At 52.8% G+C, this 13,856-nt stretch overlaps 2 protein-coding genes across 10 annotated transcripts in view, besides 7 other annotated features; one reads left to right on the top strand and one right to left on the bottom strand.

The window, feature by feature from the left end:
- Window positions 1–191: part of an enhancer, noted in NCBI's record as "H3K27ac-H3K4me1 hESC enhancer chr20:61461792-61462748 (GRCh37/hg19 assembly coordinates)", that runs on past the window's edge. NCBI's record gives its function as "activates a minimal SCP1, AML or CMV promoter by ChIP-STARR-seq in primed H9 embryonic stem cells {active_cell/tissue: H9 hESC(primed)}" and the evidence as "EXISTENCE:reporter gene assay evidence [ECO:0000049][PMID:30033119]".
- The window catches only part of COL9A3 (collagen type IX alpha 3 chain), a 24,947-nt gene extending 14,993 nt beyond the window's left edge, over window positions 1–9,954 (top strand). For 3 of the 5 annotated variants that reach the window (XM_047439894.1, XM_047439893.1, NM_001853.4), the window contains 8 exons: window positions 949–984; window positions 1,815–1,859; window positions 4,716–4,748; window positions 4,982–5,128; window positions 5,273–5,327; window positions 5,878–6,060; window positions 7,479–7,556; window positions 9,337–9,954. In XM_047439894.1, the coding sequence (XP_047295850.1) occupies window positions 949–984; window positions 1,815–1,859; window positions 4,716–4,748; window positions 4,982–5,128; window positions 5,273–5,327; window positions 5,878–6,060; window positions 7,479–7,556; window positions 9,337–9,527 (768 nt within the window). In that variant the 3' untranslated portion in view covers window positions 9,528–9,954. Of the gene's footprint in view, window positions 1–948; window positions 985–1,814; window positions 1,860–4,715; window positions 4,749–4,981; window positions 5,129–5,154; window positions 5,328–5,877; window positions 6,061–7,478; window positions 7,557–9,336 lie in introns of those variants that run through there. The other 2 variants (XM_047439895.1, XM_017027666.2) reach the window with 2 other exon arrangements.
- Window positions 192–1,147: an enhancer, noted in NCBI's record as "H3K27ac-H3K4me1 hESC enhancer chr20:61462749-61463704 (GRCh37/hg19 assembly coordinates)". NCBI's record gives its function as "activates a minimal SCP1, AML or CMV promoter by ChIP-STARR-seq in primed H9 embryonic stem cells {active_cell/tissue: H9 hESC(primed)}" and the evidence as "EXISTENCE:reporter gene assay evidence [ECO:0000049][PMID:30033119]".
- Window positions 1,148–2,104: an enhancer, noted in NCBI's record as "H3K27ac-H3K4me1 hESC enhancer chr20:61463705-61464661 (GRCh37/hg19 assembly coordinates)". NCBI's record gives its function as "activates a minimal SCP1, AML or CMV promoter by ChIP-STARR-seq in primed H9 embryonic stem cells {active_cell/tissue: H9 hESC(primed)}" and the evidence as "EXISTENCE:reporter gene assay evidence [ECO:0000049][PMID:30033119]".
- Window positions 1,403–1,452: an enhancer, noted in NCBI's record as "active region_18215". NCBI's record gives its function as "activates an Ori minimal core promoter by ATAC-STARR-seq in GM12878 lymphoblastoid cells {active_cell/tissue: GM12878}" and the evidence as "EXISTENCE:reporter gene assay evidence [ECO:0000049][PMID:35858748]".
- Window positions 1,933–1,982: an enhancer, noted in NCBI's record as "active region_18216". NCBI's record gives its function as "activates an Ori minimal core promoter by ATAC-STARR-seq in GM12878 lymphoblastoid cells {active_cell/tissue: GM12878}" and the evidence as "EXISTENCE:reporter gene assay evidence [ECO:0000049][PMID:35858748]".
- Window positions 2,105–3,060: an enhancer, noted in NCBI's record as "H3K27ac-H3K4me1 hESC enhancer chr20:61464662-61465617 (GRCh37/hg19 assembly coordinates)". NCBI's record gives its function as "activates a minimal SCP1, AML or CMV promoter by ChIP-STARR-seq in primed H9 embryonic stem cells {active_cell/tissue: H9 hESC(primed)}" and the evidence as "EXISTENCE:reporter gene assay evidence [ECO:0000049][PMID:30033119]".
- Window positions 4,584–5,783: an enhancer, noted in NCBI's record as "MED14-independent group 3 enhancer chr20:61467141-61468340 (GRCh37/hg19 assembly coordinates)". NCBI's record gives its function as "activates an origin of replication core promoter dependent on BRD2, BRD4, P300/CBP and CDK7 cofactors, and independent of MED14, by STARR-seq in HCT116 cells {active_cell/tissue: HCT116}" and the evidence as "EXISTENCE:reporter gene assay evidence [ECO:0000049][PMID:35650434]".
- Window positions 9,800–13,856, bottom strand: part of TCFL5 (transcription factor like 5) — a 20,818-nt gene continuing 16,761 nt past the window's right edge. For all 5 annotated transcript variants that reach the window (XM_024451813.2, XM_005260185.5, XM_024451812.2 and 2 more), the window contains one exon: window positions 9,800–10,892. In XM_024451813.2, coding sequence (XP_024307581.1) covers window positions 10,770–10,892 — 123 coding nt within the window. In that variant the 3' untranslated portion in view covers window positions 9,800–10,769. The remainder of the gene's footprint in view (window positions 10,893–13,856) is intronic.

The raw sequence follows: 13,856 nt of genomic DNA on the forward strand, positions 1-13,856 counted from the left end.
TTCCTGCTGGTCTTGCAGCAGCTGCAGCATTAGCTCCTTGGGGGTCCGGGCAGAAGCGGGGCACGGCCTACCCAGGGCCCCAGCTCACTGGAAGGAGCCTGTGGGTCTGGTCTGGGCCCCAGCCATGCTCCACCAGGTCCTTGGGGACCTCGTGTGCCTGCTGTGGCCACCTCTGCTGGGCAGACAGACCCCTTTTTAGATGTCAATCCCGAGAAGCCTCCAGGACACGGCTGCAGATGCCCCGTCATTCCAGGGTGATGGTCATTCCAGGGTGATGGCCGGGGCTGTGGACACCACCACCCCATGGGGGATAGCGGGCTGTTTATTGGCCTCCAGGCAGGACATTCCAGAGGTGGGGGCCATGCCAGCAACCTCAGGGCCTCCGAGAGATGGCAGGGCTGGCACCCGCCCTGCGGGCACTGCGCCTGTCCCAGGTGTGGGTGGGGCCTGGTGGCTGAATTTCCCTTTCACTTTAAACTCACGGGAAAGTCTCCTGCTTTTCTGCCCTTTGGGCCAGTTCTCACTTATGTGGCCATGTGAGCAAATGGACATTTTTTAAAGGGATTCATAGCAACTCCCAGACATGTCCTCATTTCACAATGCCGGGGGAAGGTGATTAGATGAGCTTTTGCATCTTTGACTCTACTGTGACGGAATTATCCTGCAATTGTGCAGAAACACCCGCACGAATTCACGGGTGTTACAAACAGTGCAAACCTAACGGGACTTCACTACCCACAAGGGGAGGCTGGACAGAGCCATCGGGCCCAGAGGCTGTGAACGTGAGCTTGGCCTTTGGGCCTGTGTCTGGGAGCCGGTGTTCACAGAAGCCCTTTGTGCAGCACAGATGGAGATGTGGGGAGGTGTTTACCATTCCTGGGCCCAGGGCAGGCTCACTTTAGGGATTCCTGCCATTCCTCTAATCCAGAGCCTTCTCTCCACATCCAGGGTCCGGGAGGTGCCGCAGGCCCTAAGGGAGACCAGGTGAGCTGGGCACAGGCTGGGGCAAAAGGAATGAAGGCAAAGCTGCACAGCTTCTCCCAGGCTCCTCCTGTCCCGGCTCTGGCCCTGGCTGTGTTTTCGGGACACTGAGCCTCCTTTCTCCTCTTGCCGTGTCTGTCAGTCGCCCTTTCTGGCTCCTGCCCCTCCTGCTTAGCACAGCGAAAGCAGCTCTGGGCACCCAGCCCCCAGGCACGCCCCGGCATCCGCCGCTGCCTTCCTGGGTGCAAACAGCTGGCCAGAGTGTCCCTGCATGGCTCTGGGTGCAACAGAAGCTGCTTCTAGTCCAGGAGGCACCAATGGGAACTCTCAAAGGGACAGAGGTGTGTCCTGCCATCCTTCCGGAGAACTGACAGAGGGCAGGGGCTAGGCTCTGCGTGTGTGTTTTGCAGGCAGATTCGAAATGCATTTCTGCTGTTCGAAGCACTCTTCTTTTTGGAAAAGTGTCAGGGTGGGTGGGGCCATGGCCGTGGCTGCCCCGCCCTCCTGCAGTGCCTGCTCTCACTTCTAGGCACAAGGCCTTTCCATACCGCTGGAGGGCCTGCAGCCATCGAACCCCCACCGCAGGTTCTGCTTGGCAGAAAAGCCTCATTATGCAAACAAATGTCTTCCGTTTTTTGGCCCCGCCCCTGCCTGCAGGTCTCCCAAGGGCTGTGTTTGGAGCGGGTTAAAAGGCAGCCCTGGGGCCTGGGCTTTTGGCCTCGACCTTAAGATGAACATTACACCTACGGAGGCTTGAGAGCAGGGACTTTAAGGCATGAAGTCCCTACTCATGCATGAACAGCTCTTTTAACTTTGGGGTGTATCGTTTTCAGGGTATTGCAGGTTCCGACGGTCTTCCTGGGGATAAAGGAGAACTGGTGAGTAATTAGGTAACCTCACTGTTACCAACAGCTGGGAGCGAGGTCGCCACTGTGGCTGGGGAACAGTCCTGGGGACAGGGTCAAAATCTGCAGCTCCCGGTGGAAGATCGGCAGCTCTGCTGGGCAGCGTGGGGATGGAGCAGGGTCGGGCAGAGGCCTTGGCCACTGGCCATCCCTTAGCAAGTGGGCAGGGCCTGGCAGGGAAACTCAGCGGCTCTGGAGTCTGACCTGACCCGGTGCTCAGACGTGTGGGCTCCCGCACTCTGCCCCGTGGAGTGGCACCTGCATGAAGCAGTCACAGCTGCATTTTTGTTTTTTTGTTTTTGGTTTTTTGGGGTTTCTTGTTTTTTGTTTTGAGACGAGTCTCACTCTGTCACCCAGGCTGGAGTGCAGTGGCGCGATCTCGGCTCGCTGCAAGCTCCGCCTCCCGGGTTCACGCCATTCTCCTGCCTCAGCCTCCCAAGTACCTGGGACTACAGGCGCCCGCCACCATGCCCAGCTAATTTTTTGTATTTTTAGTAGAGACGGGGTTTCACCGTGTTAGCCAGGATGGTCTCCATCTCCTGACCTCGTGATCATCCCGCCTTGGTCTCTCAAAGTGCTGGGATTACAGGCATGAGCCACCGCGCCCGGCCGGGGGTTTTTTTTGAGACGAAGTTTTGCTCTGTTGCCCAGGCTGGAGCACAGTGGCGCGATCTCGGTTCACTGCAGCCTCTGCCTCCTGGGTTCAAGCGATTTTCCTGCCTCAGCCTCCTGAGTAGCCAGGATTATAGGCCCTCCCACAGTCGACTAATTTTTTGTGTTTTGGGGGGTTTTGTTTGTTTTTTTTTGAGATGGAGTCTCGCTCTTTCGCCCAGGCTGGAGTGCAGTGACGCCATCTCGGCTCACTGCAACCTTCCCAGTTCAAGCGATTCTCCTGCCTCAGCTTCCTGAATAGCTGGGATTACAGGCGCCTGCCACCACGCCCAGCTAATGTTTGTATTTTTAGTAGAGACAAGGTTTCACCATGCTGGCCAGGCTGGTCTCGAATTCCCGACCTCAGGCAATCTGCCCGCCTCGGCCTCCCAAAGTGCTGGGATTACAGGTACGAGCCACCGCCCCTGGCCTAATTGTTGTATTTTTAGTAGAGACGGGGTTTCACCATGTCGGCCAGGCTGGTCTCAAACTCCTGACCTCAGGTGATCCACCTGCCTCAGCCTCCCAAAGTGCTGGGATTACAGGCGTGAGCCGCCGTGTCAGGCCCACAGCTGGTTTTTAACTGAAGAAAACTCCACTTCCACAGGCCTAAAACTCAGGTGAAGCATAAAATTACGTTCTTGTTTGAGTCCCTTGATAGGCACATTTCTCCTTCTGGAGGTAACAAATGGAGCAGTCGTGAGTCCGAGGGAAGGACGGCCTTTCTGGCTTTCCCGAGGGGGGTTTTCATCTATGATTAAGTCTTTCCTTTGCGTCTGGGTGAAATAGAAACAGCCTAGCCCCAGGGACCCCAGTCTCTGGCAGACCCCCACAGCCCAGTGTAAACTTTTTATGCCTGGGGACAAAAGACCTCAGTTGTATGTGTTTCATTTAGTGAATTCTTTTTTTATTTTTTTTTGAGACGGAGTCTTGCTCTGTCCCCAGGCTGGAGTGCGGTGGTGTGATCTCAGCTCACTGCAATCTCTGCCTCCTGCGTTCAAGCGATTCTCCTGCCTCAGCCTCCCGAGTAGCTGGGACTACAGGTGCCCACCATCACACCCGGCTAATTTTTGTATTTAGTAGAGATGGGGTTTCACCATGTTGGCCGGGCTGGTCTCAAACTCCTGACCTTGTGATCCGCTCGCCTTGGCCTCCCAAAGTGCTGGGATTACAGGCGTGAGCCACCTCGCCCAGCCCATTTAGTGAATTCTTAGACAACACTGACAAATGGACCCTGGAAATCCCAGAAGCTGCCCTACGTGGCCACTGTTGCTGGTGGGGTGAGGGGCAGAGCCCCTTGCAGGCGGAAAACCTAAGGCTTTGCTCTCAGCTACTCGCACGGTCGGGCTGTGTGAGGTGACCCCCTACCCTCCTGGCCTCCGCGGAGCATGCTGTCTGGGCCCGGTCGGTCCCTCTGCTGTGCGGTTAGACTGTGTCAGTCTGTATTCTGCAGCTGTAACAGAACACCGCAGCTTGGGTAGTTTACAAGGGAAAGAGATCCATGTGGCTCCTAGTTCTGGAGGCTGGGAAGCCCAAGACCGAGGGGTGCATCCATCGAGGGCCTCCCCACTGCGTCATTCCATGGTGGAAGGCAGAAGGGCCAAGAGGAGGTGCCAGAGAGAGAAAGGGGCCCAACCCATCCTTTTCATGAGGAACCCACTGCGGAGACAACGGTGTTAGTTTACTCCGGAGAGCCGAGCTCTCAAACCTAATCACCTCTTAATAGCATTGCAGTGCAGTGGCCGTTCAATTGCAGCATGTGTTTTGGAGGAGACATTAACCCGGCTGACTGTGTGTTGACGCACCTGGGGCCAGTCATTCCTGAGGACCCAGCTGGAGGGGGTTCCAGGGTTTTAGGGCAGAGAGGTTCAGCCCAGCATTAGGCGTGTTAGTAAGAAAAAGGAATGGAAGCAAAGTAAGCGTGTGTAAGAGACAGCACCGTGCAGCTAACAAAGTCACTCTTCCCAGGAAAGTAAGTTTTTAAAAAGCTTCAATCAATCAGTGCAATCACAGAAATATAAAAAATGTATATAGAAGAACGGAAGGAACCACTGTCAATATTTGGATGTAGTCTAATAGCAGGTGTGTGGATGATTTGATTTATTTTATCCTCAACTGGCTACTTCCCACCCACCCAACAATACACTTAGTTCAAACACACAACTTTTCTCTTCACAGGGTCCCAGCGGCCTGGTCGGACCCAAAGGAGAGGTGAGTGCCCGGCGACTGTTCCGATGACACCATCCATGGGCGCCTGCTGGCTTCCTGCCCACCTCTGGGCAACCAGGCAGCCCTGCAGGGCACTGCCCAGATCCGAGATGTAAAAAAGCTTGCTCTGGTCAAGGCTGGGCAAGACGGCTCCGTGCCGGCTGGGAAAGAGCACGTCGGGGTGGCTCTGGGCTCCTGGGCTCGCCCCTGACCCACCTTCCTCTGTTCCTCTGCAGTCTGGCAGTCGAGGGGAGCTGGGCCCCAAAGGCACCCAGGGTCCCAACGGCACCAGCGGTGTTCAGGGTGTCCCCGGGCCCCCCGGTCCTCTGGGCCTGCAGGGCGTCCCGGGTGTTCCTGGCATCACGGGGAAGCCGGGAGTTCCGGTACGTCGCTTTTCCGGCTTTTCCAGCTTTCACAGGGTTGAGATCGTGTTTTTTCCGGAAGGAAGTTACTTTGCGGGGTGACGGTGGGAATGCCTCACCGAGGCTGCCGCCCCCATGCTGACGAATGTGTGGGGTGAATTCCAGGGGAAGGAGGCCAGCGAGCAGCGCATCAGGGAGCTGTGTGGGGGGATGATCAGCGGTAAGTCAGCCACGTGCACCGGCTGCAGCGGGGCCCATCCCCGCCTGGGGGTCCCGTGCCTGGGGCTACACAGAAAGCCTTCGTGCCACTGCTTTCCAGCCAAAGTGAGCCCCTAGCACTCACCCCGCCTGTTAGCCCTTGGGGGTCCACGTCCGCCTTGGCGTCTGCCTGTCCTCTGCGCTAGAGGATGGCCCACGCTCCCGCCCCGGATTCAACCAGATTCCCAGCACGCAGCAGACGCCCTAAAGCCTGCTGAATGCAATGGGTACAAGAACAGCGGAGTGTGCCCCTGTGGCTGGCAGGGCAGGTCCCTAAACACCCCCAAGGGCACTTCCTTCACCTTCCCACTCAGGCTTCTCAGGCTCCAAGGGGTTGGGGGTCCTTTCTAGCTCCAGCATTCATCACCCCAAAGCAGTTAAACCATTTTCCATCAATCAGAAGGAAAACTTGCTTCTGGAAGACAGCACCGTGTAGATATTTTATGCTTTACGTAACAATACTTCTGATGATCCTCTCTCGAGTAAACGCCTGCACCCTTGTTTTCCCAAAGAACAAATTGCACAGTTAGCCGCGCACCTAAGGAAGCCTTTGGCACCCGGGTCCATTGGTCGGCCCGGTCCAGCTGGCCCCCCTGGGCCCCCAGGACCCCCAGGCTCCATTGGTCACCCTGGCGCTCGAGGACCCCCTGGATACCGCGGTCCCACTGGGGAGCTGGGAGACCCCGGGCCCAGAGGTGAGTGTTTGACCCCATGACACGGTCACCCTGCTGTAAAAATCCCTGAGACTGACTTGTTAGTAGGCGCTGCTTCTGGTGCCTGCCATGCGCCCTCAGGGGTAACCCCTGGAACGTGGGGGCCTCTCATGTTTTGGGGCCTAGCGCAGTTAACTCCTTGGTAATCCTGTGGGAACTGGAACATTTTTAACATGTGATGTTTTTCTCAAATACCATTAGAACAATATTTGGCAGGGAGGGATTGATTTAAAATGTGACGAAGGCTGGGCGCGGTGGCTCACGCCTGTAATCCCAACACTTTGGGGGGCTGAGGTGGGCAGATCACGAGGTCGGGAGTTCAAGACCAGCCTGACCAACATGGTGAAACCCTGTCTCTACTAAAAATACAAAAATTAGCTGGGCATGGTGGCACACGCCTGTAATCCCAGCTACTCAGGAGGCTGAGGCAGGAGAATCTCTTGAACCCTGAAGGCAGAGGTTGCAGCGAGCTGAGATCGCACCATTGCACTCCAGCTTGGGCGACAGAGCGAGACTCCGTCTCCATAAAAGAAAAAAAAAATGTGAGGAATGGCCGGGTGCGGTGGCTCATGCCTGTAATCCCAGCACGTTGGGAGGACGAGGCAGGTGGATTACTGGAAGTCAGGAGTTCAAGACCAGCCTGGTCAACATGGTGAAACCCCGCCTCTACTAAAAATACAAAATTAGCCAGGCAAAACACAGATGTAAGATTTGAATGACGCAATTAGAGGGATGTGAAAATGCCCTTAGGTGAACCATGGGTGGAAAATCATTTAAAACATGATTACAAAATATTAATAAATACTCAACTGCTTAATAGGCATAAATATTTTGAACAAAACTAAAATCCCATTTAAATTGGCTGCCAGAGGTCAGGGAGGTGGTTCAGCCGTGCACGGCTCAGCAGCAGGCATAGGTTCTGACGGCTGTGCCACTGGGCGGTTTCACTGTGGAACATCTGAGTTCACTTACGCAAGCCCGGCCTCCTGCACCCCTGGGCCGTGTGCCAGAGCCTGGGGTTTATGGCTGCAGACCTGCACAGCCTGTTACTGGGCTGGGTCTTGTGGGCGGTTCTAACCTGGTGGTGGGTATCTGTGTTAAATACATCCAAACACGGGAAAGGAATGGTAAAAATTGGGTATGATAATCTTAAGGGACCACTGTCACCTATGCGGTGCGTCGTCCACCTGCAGCCGTCCTGCAGTCTAAGACTGTGTACAGGTGGGTCCCTCTCGTCGGACCCCGTCAAGCCCTACGCGTGTGACATCTGTACTTTTCTAAATGTTTCCACTTCAGTGAAAAGCTGGCACCCTGTTTGTTACAAAGGTTGATCAGACACCGCTGTGGTGTGGCTGCAACAGATACTCTAACCATATGTCTGTGTCCACACCTCGTGACAGGAAACCAGGGTGACAGAGGAGACAAAGGCGCGGCAGGAGCAGGGCTGGACGGGCCTGAAGGAGACCAGGGGCCCCAAGGTACGAGTCCACGGCCAGCAAGGCTTCACTGGGTGACATCTCTTCCGCCATCTTGTAGCTTTATGTGGGGCGTGCTTGGGTTATGAATGGGTCTCTTTTCCTCTTCTCTTGGCAAAGCAGTCTTAGAGACAAGATTAGGAATTGTCTCAATAACCACTTTAATACATAAAAGTTTAATCGGGGCTGGGCGCGGTGGCTTACACCTGTAATCCCAGCACTTTGGGAGGCTGAGGCAGACGGATAACCTGAGGTCAGCAGTTTGAGACCAGCCTGGCCAACACAGTGAAACCCCATCTGTATTAAAAATACAAAAATGAGCCGGGCGTGGTGGCGGGCGCCTGTAATCCCAGATACTTGGGAGGCTGAGACAAGAGAATCGCTTGAACCCGGGAGGCGGAGGTTGCAGGTTGCAGTGAGCCAAGATGGCGCCACTGCCTTCCAGCCTGGCGACAGAGCGAGACTCCATCTCAAAAAAAAAAAAGTTTAATCAGTAAGCAGATCCTCCTGGATCTATTTTAGCTAAGTCAATTTGGTTAGATTCTGTTTAAGCTACTCAGTATCTATTTCAGTTAAAGTATAACAGAATTTTCTCTTAATTGACCTGTGCATACGTTGAATATTTCCATTTCTAATGTCAAAAATAAATGCTTTGTCACGGAGGGAGGCAGCGCCAGGATCCTTGGCAAAGGCCATCCCCTGCCCGCCCCTGTCTTAGCCTGGTGCCTTCTCAAAACCAGGAGGCCTTAGACTCCAAGGATGTGTGTGTCCAGATGAGAAGGATCCCGAACAGTCTTCGAGAAGGCACCCGCTCCCACCTCTGCCTGGGTGCCCTGGAGCCTTCTCCTCTCCTCTCCTCCACGCACTCACACTGCTCTCTGGATGCCCTGGAGCCCTCTCCTCTCCTCCACCCACCCCACCTCTCCCTGGGTGCCCTGGAGCCCTCTCCTCTCCTCCACCCACCCCACCTCTCCCTGGGTGCCCTGGAGCCCTCTCCTCTCCTCCACCCACCCCACCTCTCCCTGGGTGCCCTGGAGCCCTGTCCTCCCCTCCATGCACGCACGCTGCTCTCTGGGTGCCCTGGAGCCCTCTCCCCTTCTCCCCTCCACGCACACACACTGCTCTCTGGGTGCCCCATGCTCCTGGACTCTCCTTTGCTGACCTAGCTCTGCCTCTACCTGGTGTCCAAACGCACAGGGGTCCCAGGCCCCAGCCACGTCTCTCCGCCTGTGGCTCTGAACAGCATCTGTGTTGCACTTGCTGGTGGACAGCAGCCTCCCGGCCGCACCATGCCCGCACCATGCCCACACCATGCCCGCACCATTCTGGACTTTGTCACCTCATCTCAGTGAAGGGCTCTGACACCCCCCACTTAGGCGGCTGACTCCCTCTTCCCTCACACCCAGGCCTCCCATGTTTCCACTGTCATCACTCACCAAAGCCACCCCACAACCCCCCACTCCGGGCCCCCTGCTCACTCCAAATCCACTCCTTACTCACACAGCCCCCACCAAACCCGCGTAAGTCAGAGTGCGGGTGTCCTCAGGACGGCTCTGCACCCCTGCCTGGGGCTGGCCGCGCCTGGCCTTCCCCGGACACTCCCGACCGCCAGCCCCGCGGAGAGCCTTTGTGTGCCGTTCCCTCGGCCTCCCCACCCGCTGTGGCCTCTCCCCAAGTGAAGAGTGAGCAGATGGAAGAGCAGGGCTTGCCCACAGCTGGATGTCAAGTCCCCCTGCTTTCAGTCCGGGCTGCAGCTGAACTCACCTTTCTGCTCTGTCCCAAGGACCCCAAGGCGTGCCCGGCACCAGCAAGGACGGCCAGGACGGTGCTCCCGGCGAGCCTGGGCCTCCCGGAGATCCTGGGCTTCCAGGTGCCATTGGGGCCCAGGGGACACCGGGGATCTGCGACACCTCAGCCTGCCAAGGAGCCGTGTTAGGAGGGGTCGGGGAGAAATCAGGCTCTCGAAGCTCATAAAATTCAACGTGAGGAAGCAAGTGACAAGGACGCCCGAAGCACAGTGGACGGTCATGAAGGAGCGGGGGTGTGGCAGGCGGGTGACGTCCAGGAGAGGGAGCGCCCCTGGCTGCCCCTCGGCCGCCGACTGGACGCGCGGGCCTTGCCAGCGAGCACCCTCATCGGGCTGTCGCCTGACAGCATACCTCAAAAGGCCCTAGCTAATAAACCTGTAAGCCCAGCATTTGAGAGAAGGTAGGGTGTGTATATATAAAAGGTTGTGTACAACTCCACGAGGTGAAAAATATTCAGTAACTTGTTTACATAGCATTTGTGTAAAGACTATGATCTCATCCCAATAAAATGATATATTAAACCTTCAGATTAATGACTGGCTACAGAGTAACAAAAAATAAAGAATTTAATGTACAGTAAATTCTCTCCCATACAAAGGTCTAGTCTGATGTTTTGTGTACAAACTCACATCTCCAATTAACAGTATTTATTGAGGGTGACTTTGTATTGCACTAACGTCTATTGCTATTACCTGTTGTGATTGATAAGTAAAGCCACTCATTGAAAAACCCAATTCCAAACACCACAGTTTGTGACACATGAAGTAATGAATGACTCTTGGTATGAAAACGTGGCATTTAAGCGTCTACTGTGACAGTATTTCATTTGTGGACAAAAGTAGCTTTAAAGCAAGTATCTGGAAAATTTTTAGCACACAGGTTTAAAATGGTCCTGCACGTTGCAATACAGCAGCACGTGACTCAGAGTCATGACAAGGGGGTGTGATATAACGAATGAAATAAAATTTCCAAACTGTTTTTAGTTAACAATTTAACTTGTTCCAATTGCTAAAGGGGCATATTTAAAAGGTAAATAAGTAAAAAGCCGTGTACTTTTTAAGATTAAAGAAAGTACAAAGGATGTCAATTTTTTAAGTTATCATGTTAAGAAAACATGATGGAATCAGAGCATTGAGAAAATGCTTACTAATTATTACTAATTAATTATTACTAATTATTAAGATGGCTTCATCCCCAAATGGTCTAAGAGGACATTCATGGATAAGCATTTGCGTCTAGATAAATATTTTTACAAAATGTGCTCTCAAAGTCCCTACTGGAGTCCCGTCAGCTTGAGTCACGCCCTTTTCGAGTCAGACTAGCCGAGCAGAGCTCCAGGGTTGCAGAAGGCGTGCACAGGTCACGAAGGAATGGCTGTTCACCCCCCGAGGATTCCTGTTCAGTCCGATCACTTGATCTCCATCGAGGGGCTGCTCTGTAAACTCCCCTGTGCAGGACAGGTCACCAAGGAGTCCGGTCTGGTCAGCTTTAGCCTTCGGCCAGTTTTACCGCAAAATACGCTCTCAAATTCCTGCAGTGAAGAAGTGACGGTTAACATACTGAATTAACTGACATGAAAACTGCTGTCTTCCAAAGTGCAAAAGGTTCAAATTAAGAGCTAAGTAAATGACTTTAGAATACGCTGTTTTAAGGTGTCATTCACAAACTTGTGTCTTACCTCACAAGGGGATTTATATAATAAACAGATTTTAACTTTTTTTTTTTCAAATAGCAGTTACACTGTACATGTACTTTTGTTTTTCCAATACTCAGAATGTCTGGCCACACTGTATTGATTTTATTGTGGTAAAATATACATGACATGAACGTTTCAACCGCTAATGGGCCCTAGCTAATAAACCTGTAAACCCAGCGTGTGAGAGAAGGTAGAGTGTATATATTAAAACGTTTCAGGCCGGGCGTGGCGGCTCACGCCTATAATCCCAGCACTTTGGGAGGCCGAGGTGGGTGGATCACCTGACGTCAGGAGTTCAGGACCAGCCTGATTAACATGGTGAAACCCCATCTCTACTAAAAATACAAAAATTAGCTGGGCGTGGTGGCAAGCATCTTGTGACCCCAGCTACTTGGGAGGCTGAGGCAGGACAATCTCTTGAGCCTGGGAGGTGGAGGTTGCAGTGAGCCGAGATCATGCCATTGCACTCCAGTCTGGGCAACAAGAGTGAAACTCCGTCTCAAAAAAATAAATTTTTAAAAAGTTTCAACAATTAACAAGTCAGGGGCATCTACCCCCACCCCAGGGCGACTGCCTTGCCCTCTGCACTGCCACACACTCAGGGTTCCAAGGCCAGCAAGGTGGAGGTGCTGCTCGCTGAGATGGCTCTGTCCTTGGGGAGACCCTGCCAGCAGGGTGGGGGTGGGCTGAGCTTGCTCCTGTCACACCACCTGTCTTTTACAAAAGGCCTCAATTATAATGGTGGGGTCAGTCTCAACCTCCCGAAGGAGACTGAGAGGAAGAGAGGGGCACAGGCGACGGCCCGATGACAGGCGCCAACCACCACGGGCAGAATGTGGAAACGTCTACGGGACAAATCATTCCCTTTTCAACAAATGAACGGTGAGGAAGAAAGGAAGGGGGAACTATTACGGGTTAAGATATATTTAAAAACTATCAACCAAATGTGATGTTTGGATCCTGATTCAAATGAGCTGACCGTAGAGACACCTGTGGGCTCACGGGAGATTCTGCTCAGATTCGGGAAGGAGACTCAGGTGGGTAATAAGGAGTGAAGGCTTTCAGGAAGGAGACTGATAATGCGGTTGTGTTTTTAAACAGGCCTTTTCTTTCGGAAGATATATTTATGAATGAAATGATGTCTGGAATTGTTTTAAAATAATTCAGCGGGGGTGGGAGGGCGAGGGGATAGGTGAAACAAGCTGATGCCTGAAACTGAGTTAGAGGGACCTGGGAGTTCACTTTCTATTTCTGTGCAGATTTGAAAATTTCCATAAGTTGGTTTTAAAACATAGCATTCTACACGATTAAATCCAGGTTTATACAGTTTTTATTGTGGTATTAAAATATAGCATAAAATTTGCCTTTTAAGCATGTGTAAGTGTACAGTGGAGCAGCGTGAAGTCCACTCACAGTGCTGTGCAGCCGCCACCACCTTTTCATCACCCTAAACAGAAACTCCGTACCCATTAAACACTAACTCCACACCGCTCCGGCCCCCAGCCCCTGGCACGTACCAGTCCACTTTCTGTCTCTCTGAATCTGACGGCTCTAGGTGCCTTGTTTACGGAATCCCGCAGGGTGTGCCCTGTTGTGACTGGCTTATTTCACTCAGCATAATGACCTCGGGCCATCCATGCTGTAGCCTGTGTCAGAATTTCATTCCTTTTCATGGCTGAGTAAGATTCTGTTGTGTGCTTGTAACACATTTGTTTACTCATTCCTCTGCTGGAGCACACTTGAGTCATTTCCACCTTTTGGCCACTGTGAAAGGTGCTGCCATGAATATTCATAGAAAAGCATCCATTTGGGTCCCTGTTTCACCTCTTTGGGGTTTATGCTTCTCTGGTGATTCTATGTTGAACCTTCTGAGGAGCTGTCATACTGTCTTCCACAGTGGCTGCACCATTTCACACCCCCAGCGGCAAAGCACAGGGATTCTGATGTCTCCACATCCTTGCCAACACTTGCTATTTTGCTTTTGTTTTTGTTTTTGAATAGCCATCCTAGTATGTGTAAAAGTAGTATCTCATTGGGTCTTGATTCGTATTTCCCTAATGACTAACGGCTTGGCGCATCTTTCATGGGCTTATTGGCCATCTGTGTATCTTCTCTGGAGAAATGTCTATTCAAGTTCTTTGCCCATTTTTCAGTTGTGCTGTCTTTTTTTTGGACAGGGTCTTGCTCTCTCAGGCTGGAATGCAGTGGCACATCCACGGCTCACTGCAGGCTCAGCCTCCCGAGTAGCTGGGACTACAGGTGCACACCATCACGCCTGGCTTTCAACATTTTTTTTCTGTTTTTTTTTGTTTGTTTTTTGTTTTTTTTTTTTTGAGACCGAGTCTCACTCTGTCACCCAGGCTGGAGTGCAACAGCGTGATCTCAGCTCACTGCAACCTCCACCTCCCTGCAACCTCTGCCTCCTGGGGTTCAAGCAATTTTCCTGCCTCAGCCTCCTGAATAGCTGGGATTACAGGCACCTGCCACCACACCCGGCTAATTTTTGTTTTTTTAGTAGAGACAGGGTTTCACCATGTTGGCCAGGCTGGTCTCAAACTCCTGACCTCAGGTGATCCACCCACCTCGGCCTCCCAGAGTGCTGGGATTACAGGCGGGAGCCACGGTTCCCAGTCTGTGTAGTCTTTTTGTTGCTGAGTTGTAGTAACTTTCTACTTAATTCAAGTCCAGGAGGACACAAGCGCCATGCTGCCATGGATTTAACTTCTGAACCACCTGGAGTGACTGGAACATTCCACCCATCCACTTTTAAGCAACTTTCCAACCAAGCAAGCTGCCATT

This window comes from Homo sapiens, chromosome 20 (assembly GCF_000001405.40).
Source record: "Homo sapiens chromosome 20, GRCh38.p14 Primary Assembly".
NCBI lineage: Eukaryota > Metazoa > Chordata > Mammalia > Primates > Hominidae > Homo > Homo sapiens.